This window comes from Homo sapiens, chromosome 7 (genome assembly GCF_000001405.40).
Source record: "Homo sapiens chromosome 7, GRCh38.p14 Primary Assembly".
Lineage (NCBI taxonomy): Eukaryota > Metazoa > Chordata > Mammalia > Primates > Hominidae > Homo > Homo sapiens.
In genome coordinates this window covers 117,751,617-117,769,402 of record NC_000007.14, presented here as the reverse complement: position 1 = coordinate 117,769,402, position 17,786 = coordinate 117,751,617, and the positions used below count along the sequence as shown (strand labels likewise).

The window sequence follows — 17,786 nt, the reverse complement described above, 5'->3', positions numbered from 1 at the left end:
TTTCTTTACTCAGGAAACCCAAGGCCCAGTTTCCTATCCTTCCACCATCCAAGAAGGTTCTGTCTGTCAGCTTTACCTTCATAGCAGCACTGGCTTCCTGTTAAAGTTTCACTGAATTGGTGGTTTCTGCTTAGTTTTTTGTTTTTCTTTCTGGCCCTTAGGGACTCACTGTACTTTCTAGCAAACTCATTATTGCATTTAAAAGTATGTTTCAGAGGCAACATGAAGCAACTGGAACTCATGTATACTCCTTGTGGAAGTACATTTTGGTGTAGGCACTTTTGAAAGCTCTTTGAAGTATGGACTAACGTAGAACATGTTCATGCTCTGTGCACAGCAGTCCAGCTCTGCTATATACTGAACACCAAACGTGTACACCACAGGACATGTACTAGAATGTTTATAGCAGAACACCAATGTTCATCAACAAGAGAATGGATAAGTAAATTGTGGTATACCATAATGGAATATAATGGAATCCCACATAGTAATCATTTTTTAATGAAGATGAATTCTGACTACTCCCAACACATGGATGAATCTTAGAGGCATTATGTTGAATGAAAGAAGCAAAATATAAAAATGCACCTACATACAGTATGATTCCATTTATATAGAGTTCACAAATAGACCAAACCAATCTCTAATATTAGAAAGCAGATAGTAGTTGCCTCTGCGGGGGATGGAGGAGTTAATTGTTGAGATGGAGTACAAAAGGGGCTTCCGAAGTGCTCCTTCCACAAGTATGTGTGCTTTGTGATAATGCTTCAAGTTATACACTTCTATGTGAATATTATATTTCTTTCTTTCTTTCTTTCTTTTTTTTTTTTTTTTTTTGAGACAGAGTCTTGCTTTGTCACCCAGGCTGGAATGCAGTGGCATGATCTTGGCTCACTGCAACCTCCGCCTCCTAGGTTCAAGCGATTCTCCTGCCTTAGCCTCCGGGGTAGCTGGGATTACAGGCGCCCACCACAATGTCTGGCTAATTTTTGTATTTTTAGTAGGATGGGGTTTTACCATGTTGGCCAGGCCAGGCTGGTCTGGAACTCCTGACCTCAAGTGATCCACCTGCCTTGGCCTCCCAAAGTGCTGGGATTACAGACATGAGCCACCACACCCAGCCAGATATGGTATTTCTTTTAAAAATATTTTATATTAGGAAGGAAATAGGTATATTTTAAAAGTGGATGTAAGGGTGTGCTACAGAAAGATAAGAAAAGGCTATACAAGATGACCTGGTTTAATATGTTGTTAGAACTGCAAGACAGCCCCATGCCTCCAAGTGGGTGTGTGTGTGTGTGTGTGTGTGTGCATTTACAGGAGTGATGGGCAGGGCATTGCTTGTTTTGGTTATTAGTTCCTTTTCATGCTTTCTGGTCTATTCATTTTTCTCCTTAGCCTTGTGGGAAATTAGCCAACAAATCATCAAGTGGTAAACATTGATACAGGAGAGTTCCTTGGTAAATATCCTCATGTAACATCTTGCCATGTGCTTATTTATTAGAAAATTTATGTATATATATTGTCTCTTACTTTGCATTTGAAAAAATATGGAGGACTAAGACTTTTCAGTTCGTAGTTCTACTTTTTGAATGGAGATTTCCTTAAGCAACACAGAAGAAGAAAAAGCTGAAAAGGAAAGGTAGCATAACTTCAACATCTATAGGGAATGTTTTTCTAAAATCTCAATCAACATGATATGCATATTTTTCAAATAAAATATGGCAAGGTAACATCTCAAATACAAATATGCTTATGAGGACTCTTAGAATTGTTAAAATTAGAGCCCTGCACTTATATTACCAGGAAAGCCATTTATAGTCTAGAAGACAGCAAAGTACATCCCGTTATAGCAAAAGTCTTTTTGTTTTCTATTGCCAAATTACCATAAAAGGAGAATGTCTGCTGAAATTAATTTTGTTCTTAATTTCAATCTGCAGACTGAGTGATTAACAAGCTATTTTTTTTTCTTGCAACCTAAGAAGCTGTTCTGTGGAACAATGTTATGATCCTATCATTTGCATTTAAATAAGCACTCTTTGTTTTGCATTTCTAGACATTGTTTAGTTTAAGATTAATCTGTATATTGGGGTTGATGGAATTGAAATAAGATTTATAGCCATGAATTCTTGATGTGATTGTTATAGGCAACTGGCTTTTCCTTTGGGTTTTGCATTCAAGTTAATTCATTTGGACTTGGAGGTAATAGAGCTCTTGTCTTTATAGAACTGCCTAGAAATCTTGTGTAGGCACGGAGGGCTTGAGCCAGAAAGGAGAGACAAGTGCAATCGGACTGTGCATGATGTTGCCACTGATGACTGCAAGCATTTGCTGGAGAATCTGAGTGAGTGATGTTCAGAGCTTATTGTTTATCTTTCCCCTATGCTGCTGGGGCCTCTGGTACAATGGGAAAAACTATTTACATCTTTTGCATGTCCTTTTTAACCTTTTTGGAGCCCTAGCTATGGCAAAAATACTGACTGTAAGTGTGATAATTAACTATTTTTCCGTGTAGAATGACTTTTTGTAGAACTAATTGCTATTCAAGTAATGCTGGTTTCTCCTTGTATTTTACTGACCTAGGACAGCAATCTAAATATTTATTGCATTTTTCTTCTGACTTAGATTGTCTTTCTAGATGTTAGACTGGCAGGATATGAAAAATCCCAGCTATGTACTCTGCATCAGCTGATTGTATGAGGCAGGCAAGTTGGTTGTCTCCCAGCACCTGGTCGCCTACTTTTCTATGAAGATAATTGATCATCTTTTGGGTCCCTTCCAGCTCCACGAGTATATGCTCCTCAGCATTTTATAAAGGCTCACTTGTGGGTTTATGAGTGTGGAGTATAGACCTTACAAAACATCATGACCTCTTATATTAAGATTATCACCCAATCCATCCAGTCAGCCAGCTGTATCAGTAATTCAATTTTAGGATAAGCAACATTTTAAAAATTGAAATAATGTTTTTATCTTCAACCTAATACATACATTCATATACTTTTATTTTGTGAAGAAAATTTCAGAATGGTAAGGAAGCATATATGCAAACTGTGTAAGTATACTTTAATATAAAATATAAAAGAGAATAATAGAAATTCTCTTTAAACCCGAGGGGGTTTTTTTGGTTGACAGAAGGCTTTATTTATCATTGAAGTCTAGGTTTCGGGTCCTTAAACTTTTGAATCGCTGCTCAGTGTCTGAAACAGTGTCTTATACAGAATTTCTCTAAAATAGTTCTCTTATTACAAGCTGATGCTAACCTAAGAACAAACATGGAACACTTTCTGTTGAGCTAAAATTTTATTATGGAATGTAAATGCTGTCATTTAATTATATTTCACTTTCTGATATTAAACATTTAAAAGTAGAAGGAATAAATATATATAGCTATGGTATCTTAGATGTGAAAAATATGAAGCATATTGGCATGGCTGGGATAGAGGTGTGATTAGAGGTGGGGAATTGGAAGGATGAGACAGCGCAATTGATGTTTTGGGCAGTTTAATGCTCATTTCAGTAGTTTTGACCTTACATTGGCAGTCAAAGATAAGCCAATGAGATTGTTGATAGTGCATAATGTGGTACAAATGGTGTTTTGGAATTCTGTAGGCAGCTCTTTCTGGGACAAATCAACCTATAGAGAGTCTGGAAACAGATCAAGCATCAAAAAGTTTTAATGATGTGTCCTCAGTTGGACCAGGGTGGAGGAGAGGGAAATGGTATATAATGAGAGGGATGGGAAATCCTAAAATTGAGGATTAAGGAGGACTTTATGAAATAAAGACTGATATGGGAGACCTGAGTATAATTTCTATCTCAGACATGTTGGCAGGATTTGCAGATGTACATCCTGTGGAAGACTGGACATTAGGTAGTGTGATTTAAGGGAAAGGGCATCTGAATCCCAGTATCCAGATGTCTGTGTAATGTTAGACAAGGTGCTTAGCCTTCTCTCACCTCAGTCTGCTCACCTGTTAATAGGGTTAGTAATTATTCGTATACCTGAGTGCAAAAGAGTGGATCATTTCTTAAGGTCTTTCTAAGATTCCAATTCTGACAATCTGAGAGAAGTAAAAAAGACAGGATATGCATTTAGATTATGATTACTTCCATAAGGCTTATGATAAAAGCTGCGAATGCAAATGAACTATAGAAAGTAAGTGGGGCCAGGTGTGGTGGCTCACGTCTGTAATCCCAGCACTTTGGGAGGCTGAGGTGGGCAGATCACCTGAGGTCGGGAGTTCGAGACCAGCCTGACCAACATAGAGAAACCCCGTCTCTACTAAAGAATACAAAATTATCTGGGCGTGGTGGCATATGCCTGTAATTCCAGCTGCTCAGGAGGCTGAGGCAGGAGAATCGTTTGAACCCGGGAGGCAGAGGTTGCAGTGAGCCAAGATGGCGCCACTGCACTCCAGCCTGGGTGACAGAGTGAGACTCTATCTCAAAAAAACAAAACAAAACAAAAAAAACCTGAAGAACAGAATATGTCAAAGAAGAACAAAGATGCACAATTATTTTCATTTATTCAACAAACTACTCCTCGCCTAAGCACATAGCTAGAAGTACTCTTGCATGTGTGTATCAGGAGACATATGAAAATGTGTGTTGCAGCATTGTGTGTAATACTAGAAAACTGAAAGCACTCTAAATGGAAATCTATTAGGAAATGGATAAATAGAATAAACTGTAGAAAATTCATATTTTAAAGGTACCAAGTAGCACTTAAAAATAAATTTTATCTATATAAATCACCTGAAATACATTAAAAAAGTGTTGAGTGAAGAAGTCAGTTATAGAAGGACACATAATATAAAACCATCTGTGTAAAAGTTTAAAAATACAACTCCAAGCCTATATTTGTTATAAGTACCACTAAATAAGGCAAAGTGTAAAAATATGCATAGGGGAGGTAAGAGCTTCCCTATGGAAGATTTAAGTGAAAATTGAAAGGCTGAGCCAAGAAAGAGTGGAAAATAGAGCCATTCCAGGTGAACTAGCAGCATATCTGGAGGCACTGAAGGGGATGTGCTTTGGAGTCTTTAGAGGTATTTAGCTGTATCTGCAGTGCTGGGGAGAGGAGGGAGATGAGTATGGGAAGTCTAGAGTCAGGTCATAAAAGGCCTTGTATTCCTTTTGACTCAATCTTCCATGTAAGTTTTGATGCAATCCTGTGGACATGAATGAACAATTGAACGATTGTAAGTGAGGAAGTAAGATGTAGGTAATGGGGAAATAATTGTCTTGATCTTGATACACAGGATACCATAGATGGGGAGCATGACTGGTACCTAGTAAGAGGGAAGGAGGGCTGAACAAGCCAGGGAGTCACAGGGCTGGAGAACAGGGTCATGGTTCAAGTCATAGGGGTGCTATGAGACAGGAATGATATACAGGGTGAGGGGAAAAGCAAACTGAAGGCCAAGCCCAGAGAAACCCCCATTTTTAGGGCAGAAAATATTTTTTAAAAATGACCCTAAAAGAAGATTGGGAAATAGGAAGGAAAAGAGCCAAAAAATAATGTTGTATGGTCAGGCATAGTGGCTCATGCCTGTAATCCCAGCATTTGAGGAGGCTGAGGCAGGAGGATTGCTTGAGCCCAGGAGTTCAAGACCAGTCTGGGCAACATGGCAAAACTCCATCTCTTCAAAAAATAAAAATAAATTGCCAGGCATGGTGACACGTGCCTGTAGTCCCAACTGTTGTCTGCTCCATGGGTGCTGAGGTGAGAGGATTACCTGAGCCAGGGAGGTCAAGGCTGCAGTGAGTCAAGGTGGCACCACTGCCCTCCAGCCTGGGTGACAGAGAAAGACCCTGTCTCAAAAAAAAAAAAAAAAAAAAAAAGAAGAAGAAGAAAAAGAAAACAATGGTGTAATTGGATTCAAGTTAGGAGACCTTTCCAACAGGAAGAATTAATTTAATAGTATCACATTCCCTAGACTATAAGGATTAAAAAGAGTCGATTGCATTTGGCAAATAGAAGTTACCGCTAACAGGGAGACAAGTTTTGTGCAGTTACATAGAAGCTGATTATTTTAAGCTGAGAATAATATGGAAAGACAGTGGAAAAAATCTCTGGTAGAATAGTTTTCTTCATCCATTGAATAAACACCTTTTTATTAATTCATTGAACATATGCTTATTGAGCTGCTCTTGTGCCAGTCACTATCTTAGCCACTTGATGTAAGTCAGAAAATTTTTAAGAAGATTGTTCTCATCCTGAAGCTTATAGTCTAACATTAAGAGATAAAATGAACAATAAATATAAGAAAAATTTATTTTTTGGCATTGTGAGGTGGTGAGATATGCTATGGAAAAGACTAAGGGGGATGAGGATTTAAAGGGTGTGTTTCAGCTTTTAAAATGGTGGCCAAGTTTGCCTCACTGATGAGACATTGAAGCCAAGGCTTGAAGGAGGTGAACAGGGCAGCTATGTGGATATCTAAGGTTCAAGAAGCTTTAGCACGAGTTGGACAGAGGCCTGAGGTAGCAGCATTCCTGTTGTGTCTGAGGAACTGCAAGGAGGGCAGGATGACTGGGTTAAAAGGAAAGAGAAGCAGGAAGACGGGTCAGAGCAGTAGCCATTTCAGTGTTTGAGTGCAGGAGAGCAGTTACAGGGTGGAGCGTGGCCTGATCTTGTTGGAATGCGTAGGCCATTGTAAGAACTTAAGGTAGCCATTGCAGTGTTCGATTGTAGGAGAGATGGGATCTGATGCACATTTTAACAGTAGCACTGGCTGCTTTGTTGAGAATCAGCTATAGGAAGTCACAGATAAATCAGGAACAGCTGTTAGTACATGCATATGGTATTCCAGGTGAGAGACAATTATGGTGGCTCAGTGTAGGAATGCAGCAGATGAGGTAATGAGAAGGACTTGGGTTCTGGATACAGTTGAAGGTAGAGTCAACAGAACTTCCTCATGGATTGAATGTGAAGTGTGAGGGAGTATAATTCAAGGTGTTCAGTCTGATAATTCAAGGTGTTCAGTCTGACCAACTGGCACGATGGAGTTGCCAGTACTTGTTAGGGGGAAAGGCCATGAGTGAAACAGATTTTCTCATGTAGTTGGGGAGTTCAGATTTGGATGCAGGAATTTGAGATGTCTCTTAGGATATCTGTGTGGAGATGTCAAGTCAGCAGGAATTCCTGAGACGAGTGAGAGCTGGGTGAATAAATGTGAAGGTCAGCAGTCTATCAGTGATATTTAAAGTCATGGGACTGGATGAGATCACTAAGGGAATGAACATGCACAAAATAAATAGAGAAAGGAGCCCCAAAACACACTATCATTAAGAAGTCTGGAAAAGGTGGAGAGAACAACAAAGGAACAACATTAAAGAGCGACCGAGGAGGTACAGGAGATCCAGGAGGAGTATATCAAGGAGCAAAGAGAGATCACTTTTGTCAGATACTGTGGATAAGTAAGATGACTGAGAGTCAGAAAATGGAAAATAAGTAATCCAGCAGTTGGTTACTTAATGGAAAAATCTAAGTTTAAGAAGAGGATCATATAAACAAACACATGTTGTTTTAAAACATTTTAATTTTAAAGCATACAAAGGAATTTTTTACCAAAGTTTAGATAGAGGTCTTTAGTACAGGTTCTACTGATTAAAATTTCACATACTCTTGTTTGAAAAAAACATACCTTTGATGCATCATCTATGATTTCTAATGTTTGACTGCTTAAACACATTTATGAAGCAAACTAAAGGTAATACCTGTCCAGAGATTATTAAACCATTTCTAATTTCATATAGTTGTCCCATTTATACCTCATTAGATAAAATTTTTTAACAGTTCCTAAACTGTCTCTAAAGGATTCAACTTAGTTTTCATAGGAACAGTAACTCATATTTCATCAATTTATGGAATACTTAATTCAATAATTATAGTCATCAGTTCAATGAACATAGAATATTTGGAAACAAACACAAGTAACTCAGCATACAATTCAGTCATGAGAACAGAAGTAGATGGGGGTGCTACCCACTCTGCTGGAGCCTCAGTCGGAGAAATTGGAAAGAACATTTCAAAAGTTAAATCCTGCTACCCTGTTAACCATTTATCAAATACTTACTGGTATTTACCACATAAGAATATGTAAAATCTATTACAAAAGTAAGTTCATTTATTTTTCACACCAACTCGATATACATTCCCTCCATTTTATGGAAGAAATTGGGGTACAGAGAGATCAATTTACAAGAACACGCATCTATAGGAGGCTGACCCTGACTCTGCGGTTCAACCCAAGGTCTATATGATTCTCAGTTACTATCCTAAGCATCCCGACCTGTCCAACTATAACCTGCCTCATCCATGACATTATCTATGAAGGAAAGGAGAATATAGAGAATTCAGGGTCAAGGGAGGGTTATAGTTCTTTCAGATTTTTTTTTTTAAAACTTGACAATCTTGCTGATGGGAAAGAGTTAATGAAATAGAAAAAGCCAAAGATACAAGGAAAGAGACAGTTCGTGCAGCGTGCTTCCAAAGAAACTGAAGAGATTGGGAGACAAAAGTTTACTCCAGTGTAAGAACGTTCAATGTAATGTTATTTAATGAAATAAAATAGCTTTGGTTTATAATTTTTAAATGTTTATATCTGCTTATTTTATGTAATAGTTTTACTTTTTTTTTCTGTCCAGATTTTTTTAACTCCTAATTCTTTTACTCTTCTAACAGATGCTCTTAAAATACCCTTAAGGATTTCAGTGGGTGAGATTGAACCAAGCAACTATGGTTCTGATGACTTGGAATGTGAAAACACAATATGTGCTTTAAATATCCGCAAACAGACATCATGGGATGATTTTTCAAAAGCAGTGAGTCAAGCTCTGACAAATCATTTCCAGGCAATCTCTTCTGATGGATGGTGGAGTCTGGAAGACGTGACTTGCAATAACACCACTGATTCCAACATCGGCCTCAGTGCAAGAAGCATACGATCCATCACGCTAGGTATCAGCAGTCCTATGACGGAGAGAAAGTGAAATTTCTGGGTTTATTTATGTTTGTGGGTTTCATAACCTGATTCTTAGTTCATTGATTAAGCACATTCAAAGCTTACTTGTGGCAGCTGCCGGTGCTGAAAAACTTGAGTATTCACAATGTAGCCATTATGTAATGTTGCCTGTTAATATAAAAATGCTTTTATGCCCCAAATAATACTCAGAGAGTAAAAAACATGAAAGCCGTTGATGAGGCTTTGTGATTGCACTTGCTATTCTAGATAAATGCAAGAAACTAAACACCCCACAGCTGCTTGCTTTTGCGCAAGTACTGAACACAGCTCAAAATTTGTTCTTGGGTTGGGCCAGGAGCACTGTAGTGCATTAGTACCTTATCTCCAGGACAGATTTTCTGATGAAGTCTAGACTTGAAAGAAGCACTTTAATAAAGATATATTCAATGCTCCCACATGGGATGAATCAGGGTGGTAATTGGTTATTTCAATTTGATAGACAGCACAAAACAGATTCCAAGGAACTTACGAGATTTGCTTTCTGCTGAGCATAGTAAGTTCTCTGTAAATATTAGGTGTCCCTGATTAGTTCCTTTCTTCTTGGTCCAGGAGAACTACCTTCTATGGGAAATCTGCCCCTTTGCAAGGACTGTATTGGGTGCTTATAAAAGGTCCTTTCAGTGGTGTCATTTTACAGATAACTCCGTACAAGATGACTTGCTTGAGAGCACAGAACTAGTGAGCAAAGCAGACAGGATTCAAATCATATTCTGTCTGATAGAAAAGCTTGTGTACTTTCAACAGCACCGTATTGGAAAAGAAAGGTCCAAGGTTGAGGGAAAAGTGGGCTTTTTACCATTGCTATTTATCTGTCAGATTGTTACATCAGAAAGTGTTTTATTCTGTTTACCCATATATGTTTATTCACTTTCAAAACATGTTACTAGTTTTTAGAGAAGAGTATTCATGACAACTTGATTTTATGGATCTTTGGCATGATCATTAAAATTACTATTATTGGCTGTGCATGGTGGCTTATACCTATAATCCAAGTGCTTTGGGAGGATGAGGCAGAAGGATCACTTGAGCCCAAGAGTTCAAGACCAGCATGGGCAACATACTGAGACCTCATATTTACAAAACAATTTTTTTAAAATTAGGTGGGTGCGGTCACATGCACCTGTAGTCCCAGCTACTCGGAGGCTAAGGTGGGAAGATCCCTTGAGCCCAGGAGTTTGAGGCAGCAATGAGCTATGATGAAGCCACTGCACTCCAGCCTGAGCCACAAAGACCCCATCTCTTTAAAAAAAAAATTATAGAATTGTTATAATGTACTTAAAATTGCATTAAGAAATGATTCAGTTCTTAGGAACACATTTTGTCCACACATGGAGTATTACTCAAACTGTGGTTCTGGCCCAGGGTCTGATAAACAAAGTCAGTACAACTGTGTTTTGAAGGAAATGGCCCCCCATCAGCCTTCATTCAGCTAATGTGGAAACTGACAAAGGCAGATGGATATTCACTGCCAACAGATAAGTTTACCTCTGTGAACAGTGCATGCTAAGGCTTGATTATTGCAGTGTTCATGCTTGTCTCAGAGGTATAGAGCACCCTAGTAGCATTTCACATCGAAAAATCGTTGAGTTTTGTGGATAAAGGACTTAGTTTAGTGCCTCGCTGTAACCACTTCATAATTGGTAATTATTAGTGTTATTATTGTGTGTATGTAAGTGAGTTTGCTGGATTCATAACCTAAGCTACATGAAAGGAACTTCAGGTCAGCAGATAAACGCAATTACAGGTGAGTGTGCATGTATATTGGAGGCATGCTGAGAATAGATACTTAAGAATTGATCTGTGGAAGGAAGAGATGAAAAAAAATACTTATTACCAATCATCCCCTAGGGAAGATACCTATGAAGTGGAACCCTTTCAGAACAAGAGTGAGCAGAGGGCCCGCAATGGGAGAAGGCCTGCCTTGTTCTGAGCACCTGAAATTATCTTTTTTTTTTTTTCCTGGAATCTAAAAATTTGCTGGAAAGAGGCTCAGGGACCAGATCATAAATGATCTCATATCTCACCCAAAGTGCTCAGGCTTTGAGAAACAAGCTTTGGAAGAACCCTGAAACAGTTTTAGATTATGGACAGCCTTGTTCTTGAGAGCTTAACCCTAGAAATATCTGAGTGGATATATTTGCTTTCTAGATCTCTCCCTGAATCCCTCCTATGGGCTGCTTTGGAGAAGTCTGTAGATTGAAAGCCTTCCTTTCAACCTTCAACAAGAATTTCATTAGGGAGCTAACCCCTTGTGTGGCCCTATATGTGTTCCGTACATGCCTTTGACAATTAAAGCTCTGAATTCCTTAGGGTTCTCACAGAAGAGAGCATATGTTTACCCTTGTGAGAAAAACCACTCATAAGCTTCCCTTGACATTTTATTTCATTTTTTGAAACTAGGAAATGTGCCGTGGTCAGTGGGTCAGAGCTTCGCGCAGTCCCCGTGGGACTTTATGAGGAAGAATAAGGCAGAGCACATCACTGTGCTTTTGTCAGGTAAGGATGTCCCTAACTAAGGTGACGTTTAAAGAGTGTTTGCTTCATGGCTGCCTCAGAGCACCAGTTCTTAAATCTTCACGTTTCATCCCATGTCTTCTAGCCACGCACATGTGAGTTCCACCACTAGGTAATTAGATGTTTTTAAAATGTTTGATTAAGGGGAGGAAAACTCAAAAGCTATGTTCTTGACACCCATGGTAATGTCTGTCTGGATCATTGATGCCTGTCATTCTGATTGCATCACTCACTGGAAGTAAACCAGAGGCCAAACTGGCATGCTGATAAGAGAGTGACAGAGACTGTGTTAAAAGAGAAATGTCTTTTTTTTTTTTTTTTTTTTTTTACTGTGCTTAATAATGCTTAATACGATGATCACGATGGTACAGGCTAATGTTTAGTGAGCACCTGCTATGTGCTAGACCCTGTTGTTTATAGCATACTATAAGTATCAAATCATTTAATTCTCATAACCCAATGAGATATGCATTTCTGCTTATCCCTATTTTATATCCAAGGAAATTGAGGCTCTGAGAGATTGATATTCTTGCCTAAGGTCATGCTGCCACTAAGTGGTATAGGAATACTCAATTTCTCAGCCCTTGATGCTAAACAGCTATGGATTTCATCATGTATTTCCCATACTTGGGAATGGAGTCTGAAAATTCAATCTTAACTAATAAAGATTTATTTTATTACTTGAACTGGACTTACTGAAGTTTAAAGAAAAGTGTGAGGCCACCCCAGAAAATTGCTTTAGGCCCAAACAATGTATTGAGAGAATGGCAGAACTTGGGGGGAGGGGTGGCGAGTATTGCCAGTGGACCTAACGGTGGCCAAGGCTAAAGCTTTCTGAGGATTGCAATGATCTATGATAACTTTTACTTATGAACTGTAAAACATCAAGCCCAGCAATCAGCAGATACTGGGCACAGTGTTTGGGCTGGGATCGGGAGGCCCTGTCTATGGTTGCTGGGAGGTAGGTGGGCATCCCAGGGGGTGGAGGAAGGAACAGCTGGGAGCTCTTGGGAGGTCAGGAGCAGTGGCAGTTTATCAGCCAGAACAAAGTGTGAGGATATTTTCACAACAGAAAGGCACATTGGTGCCTCCTGGCCAAATGTCAGCTCTGCCTACATAAGTCAACAAACACATTCATCTTCTATGATAGATTCTGTTGTGTTTTGATCGTTTATATTTAACAAGGGAACACCCATTTTTCTTCGTCTGTCCTTTCCTACAGGTCCTCAAGAAGGCTGTCTCAGTAGTGTGACTTATGCCTCCATGATCCCTCTCCAGATGATGCAGAACTACCTCAGGCTGGTAGGTGGACACTGCTGGGTGGAGACCTGTGTTTTCCATCCCTGCCACTGGAAAATTGGGTGGCCCATTTTTATGTTTAAAGGAGGAGTGCAAGCCCCCCCACCCTGTGCTCTGACACCGTTACCTTCCCCACCAGCCCCCTCCCTGGCAGGCTGCCCATTACATAGTCTGGATTTCTGTCACTGTCATCCAGGTATCTATTGCCTGGATCCAGAGACCACCTGTGACCTGTGAAATGCCATAATTTGGGCAGGAGCAGGATGTCTTCCTTTAACAAGGACTTGATGTCAAGTAAATGATGATCAATATGAAAGGGAATGGCCACAAATATCAAGATGCCTTACTATAAACTTTTATAATTTAAAATTGAGTAAAGATGCTAGCATTAGTGAGAAGGTTAATTTGGCCACTTTAACGGAAACCAAATAATTACAGCTTAAACAGGATAGAAGTTTATTTTTCTTAAACATATAAGTCCCAGCAGGTGAGAGGCCTGAGGAAGGAGAAGTGGCAGGGTGACCTCCCCAGGATCTCAGCACCCTTTCTCCCTGCTCCACTCTTCCCTGGGATGTTGTTTGTGTTGCTTGGTCAAAGGTAGTCACCACTCCCACTCTCACTTCCTAGCTGGAAAGAGAGAACCTGGAGGGCAGGCCTTTCCTTTCAGGGGAATTGCACACGTCATTCCTGCCCACATCCCATTCAACAGAACTTAAGACACCTATCGGTGCCTAGCTGGGAAGTGGAGCCTTTTGCTGGGCAATTGTGCACCCACCTAAAACCAGGTGGTCTGTTACTAAAAGGAAGAAGAAGAATATGATCATTAAAAGAAAGTAGCAAATTATAAATGTAAAATGGATAAATGTAATGCTTTGCATTCATTAAATACTTACTACATGCCAGGCAATATGCCAAGTGCTGTTATGACTTATTTTATTTATTCTTCAAAACATCCCTATGAGATAATTTCATCCATTTTACAGATGGGGAAACTGAACAGAGAGAGGTAAAATGCTCAAAGTCATGCATCTAGCAAGTGATGAAGCCAGGATTGTGCAAGTCTCTGATGTGTATGAGATCAATCTGAAACTAATACTACTGGTATAAAACATTAAACATAATTTTGCTTGCTGCCTTAATTTCGATGACCTTTTTAAATAAATGAGTTGGAACTATGACCCTTGACAAAAGTTGTTTCCATAGACTGTGAATTGATGCCTTTGTTTTCACGCCTTATGAAAAGAAGTATTCAAAACCATTCCATTGATCATCTAGCCAGGCTCACAGTTAGGATTAGCTTTTGTACCAGCAGCCACAGTAGCAGAGAAACATTCAAAGCCTCACAGTGTAGAAAAGGTGGATTCTCCTGAATCTGATACTTTGACTTCTTTGCTTTACTCTTTGTCCCCCTTCCTAAAAGCATGAAAGTATGCCTGTGATGGGAAGGAGATGTATATCATTACTTGGCTTAAGTGAAGGTTGAAGGGTGTGATCAACTGGTTTTCAGGAATGTTAGCCTCAGTCTCTCAGTAGAATCAGCTGGTAGAACCACTCCCTTCTCTCCCCTTCCCCCTTGTCAGCTTCTCCGTACAAGGCAAGGTTCTGACCCAGGGCTTTTCCTTCATCCATTAAGATGATAAAACTGCAAATTAGCGTTGACTAGCAAATCTGTAAAATGAAATGTCTGCTAGTCACATTATATGTAAAATATTCCAAGTACACTTATATATGTGTCTGCTTATACATAAGACATAATTTCACTACCAGTTAACAGCAAATCAGAGACCAAAACTGTTGTTGATTCTATATTGAATTCAGTGAGTGTACATAAAAGACTTCTTTAATCCAACAATTAACTCTTGAATGAATATAATAAAAATGTATCACTTATTTCAGCAGTCACTGCAAAATTTAAAGTGACTGAGACAACAATATATCATAATGGTTGTGAATGTTTTCTCTTCCATAAACAATTATAATCCCCTTAAGAGCATAGGCCCTGTGTTATGTATTTTTGTGTCCTGTTATTTCAGTTGTTTCACAACTGTTTATTGAGAGCCTCTTAAATGCAGGTGGTGTTTTAGAAACTGAGGATAGAGCTATGTATAAGACACATTGCCTGGCCTCATACAGTTTACCTTCTAGTGGTAAAGAAGGCAGATTTAAAAAATATCAAATGAATAAATGCACATGTAATGTGATGACCAGCACCAACACAAGTGTAAAGAAAAATAAAGCAGACAAGGAGATAAAGAGTGGGTGGACGGGGAGGCAGAAAGCACTATTTTTAGATGGAGTTATCAGGAAAGATCTTACTGTAATGACATTTGGACTGAAAAACAAATGAAATGAAGAGAGTCGCCTTGTGGAGGGTGTTTGAGGTACAGGGAACCGCAGACACAAATGTGTCTAGGTTGACAGTGAAGTCTGGGAAATGATCAGAAACTAGATCATGCAGGAATATGGCAAAAACTTTGAATTTTACTCCAAGTGGATAGGAAGCCACTGAGGGAATTTGAGCCAGAGAATGGCATAGCTTCCCAGTTCCACAAATAACTACAGGCACATTGATGTGTGTTGAATTGTTGGAAATCTGTACAGTAGATATACAAATGTAGTAATTGACTTTGTTTACCTTCAACTTTTATTTTACGTTCTGGGGTACATGTGCAGTTTATTAAATAAGTAAATGTGTGCCATGGTGGTTTGCTACACAGATCATCCCATCATCTAGATATTAAGCCCAGCATCCATTAGATATTCTTCCTGATGCTCTCCCTCCCGCCAGCCCCCACTGTGACAGGCCCCAGTGTATGTTGTTCCACCCCCTCCACCATGTGTTCATGTGTTCTCATCATTCAGCTCCCACTTATAAGTGAGAACATGGAGTGTTTGGTTTTCTGTTCCTGCATTAGTTTGCAGAGGATTATGGCTTCCAGCTCCATTCATGTGCCTGCAAAGAACACGATCTCATTCCTTTTTATCATTGCTTAGTATTCCATGGTGTATATGTACCACATTTTCTTTATCCAGTCTATAATTGATGGGCATTTAGATTGATTCCATGTCATTGCTATCATCCGTAGTCTTGCAGCAAACATACGTATGCATGTATCTTTGTAATAGAATGATTTATATTCCTTTGGGTGTATACGCAGTAATGGGATTGCTGGGTCAAATGATATTTCTGCCTCTAGAAAGAAATGAGGAGTCGCCACACTGTCTTCCACAGTGGTTGGATTAATTTACACTTCCACCTACAGTGTAAAAGTGTTCCTTTTTCTCCACAACCTTGCCAGCATCTGTTGTCTCTGGACTTTTTAATAATACCATTCTGACTGGCGTGAGATGGTATCTCATTGTGGTTTTGATTTGCATTTCTCTAATGATCAGTGATGTTGAGCTTTTTTTCATGTGTTGGCCACATGAATGTCCTTTTGAGAATTGTCTACTCATGTCCTTTGCCCACTTTTTAATGGGTTTGTTTGTTTTCTTGTAAATTTGTTTAAATTCCTTGTAGACTCTGGGTATGAGACCTTTGTCAGATGGATAGATTGCAAAAATGTTCTCCTGTTCTGTAGGTTGTCTGTTCACTCTGATGACAGTTGCTTTTGAATAGCTAACCTTTTATTGAGCATTTATTATACACCAACCTCTATTCTAAATATATGGATAATCTCATTTAATCTTTCTATGAGATAGATACTCCATACAAGTTAGATTTTACAGGTAAATAAACAAAGACTCAAAGTAATTTACCCAGCGTCTTCAGCAATTAAGTAGTGGGACCCAAGGAGTTGAAACTAGCCTTTCTGCCTACTCATGCATGTAATCATAGTTTATTAGCCTAGGTTATTAGCCTATTGATTAAGCATTGCAGTACCAGTTGTTACTATGTATGCAAATATATTATATAAAATGCATGTGTTAAAACCCTTATGCAGAAAACCACATGTAGTGAAGACTTTAAATCAGGATTCTGTTTCTGTTTCTGTTTTTTAAAATGATGTTATTTTTAAATACTTTTATTGTTAAAAATAATACAAGTACATTTTAAATCTCCACCCTTGATTTAATAGGGGAAATATTCAACCCAATTGAGTTTTGAATCACTAGTAATTTATTGTAATTGTTGAATTTTTTGCATTAACTTAAACATTTAGCCAGTTGCAATTTTTGTTAGGTTATTTGAAACCTCGTGTTTTAATAATTCAGTGACTATGAGTAATTATGATATTAGAAAAAATGCTGGAGTTCGGTCATCTTGATCTGAGTGCTTCTTTAAAATTAAGACTCTGAATGTCCAGGATGGGATCCTTGAGTTTCTTCTACCTGTTTTTCATTCACTTCAATATGTGCCATGCCAGTCACTGAGAATCATCACTAGGAGAGCCTAGTTATTCTCCGTACATTCCCAAAATAAGTTTGCTACTTTCCTATAAAAATAAGGTTGTAAGTGATAGTTATGTGTCTAAGACATCCCACAACCCTGGTAGCAGAGGGCCAGCTCTAGTCTGATCTTTCTTAGGAAAGGGAGGAGCAAGCCTGGGTGAGGTCCTAGTGAAAGTGGGAAGCAGCTGGTTGCCTGATATGAGGAAGAGGCAGCTCTGCTACCAGTGGAACATTTGACTTCCACAGCAATAGTGGAAGAGGATCCTGGGCAGTAAATGTCAGCCTAGAAAAGGTCTAAAGCAGAAAAACTTCATGAATTCCAGAGGCTGGCTGACAAGGGAGCAGTTATGTCTAAAAGTTCCATCTTATAGTTTTATGTTTTTGAAGTAGCTGTAATACCCAAATTATTATGTCTGTATCAATAAATGGGGACCTGTCTATATTTGAAGTTAGTAACCCAGTCTGCTATGTATGTGAACTGTAATTTCTCTTAAATTCCTATTACTCTTATACCTCTTCTTTAAAAGGGACCTCAACAAATGATTAAAA

General features: G+C 38.9%; 1 protein-coding gene across 12 annotated transcripts in view; it reads left to right on the top strand.

Moving 5' to 3' along the window:
- The window catches only part of CTTNBP2 (cortactin binding protein 2), a 162,791-nt gene that overhangs the window by 104,039 nt on the left and 40,966 nt on the right, over nt 1-17,786 (top strand). For 10 of the 12 annotated variants that reach the window (NM_001363351.1, NM_033427.3, XM_024446964.2 and 7 more), the window contains exons 9-12: nt 2,227-2,344; nt 8,693-8,968; nt 11,433-11,528; nt 12,769-12,848. In NM_001363351.1, coding sequence (NP_001350280.1) covers nt 2,227-2,344; nt 8,693-8,968; nt 11,433-11,528; nt 12,769-12,848 — 570 coding nt within the window. Of the gene's footprint in view, nt 1-2,226; nt 2,345-8,692; nt 8,969-11,432; nt 11,529-12,768; nt 12,849-13,828; nt 14,024-17,786 lie in introns of those variants that run through there. The other 2 variants (XM_047420934.1, XM_011516618.3) reach the window with 2 other exon arrangements.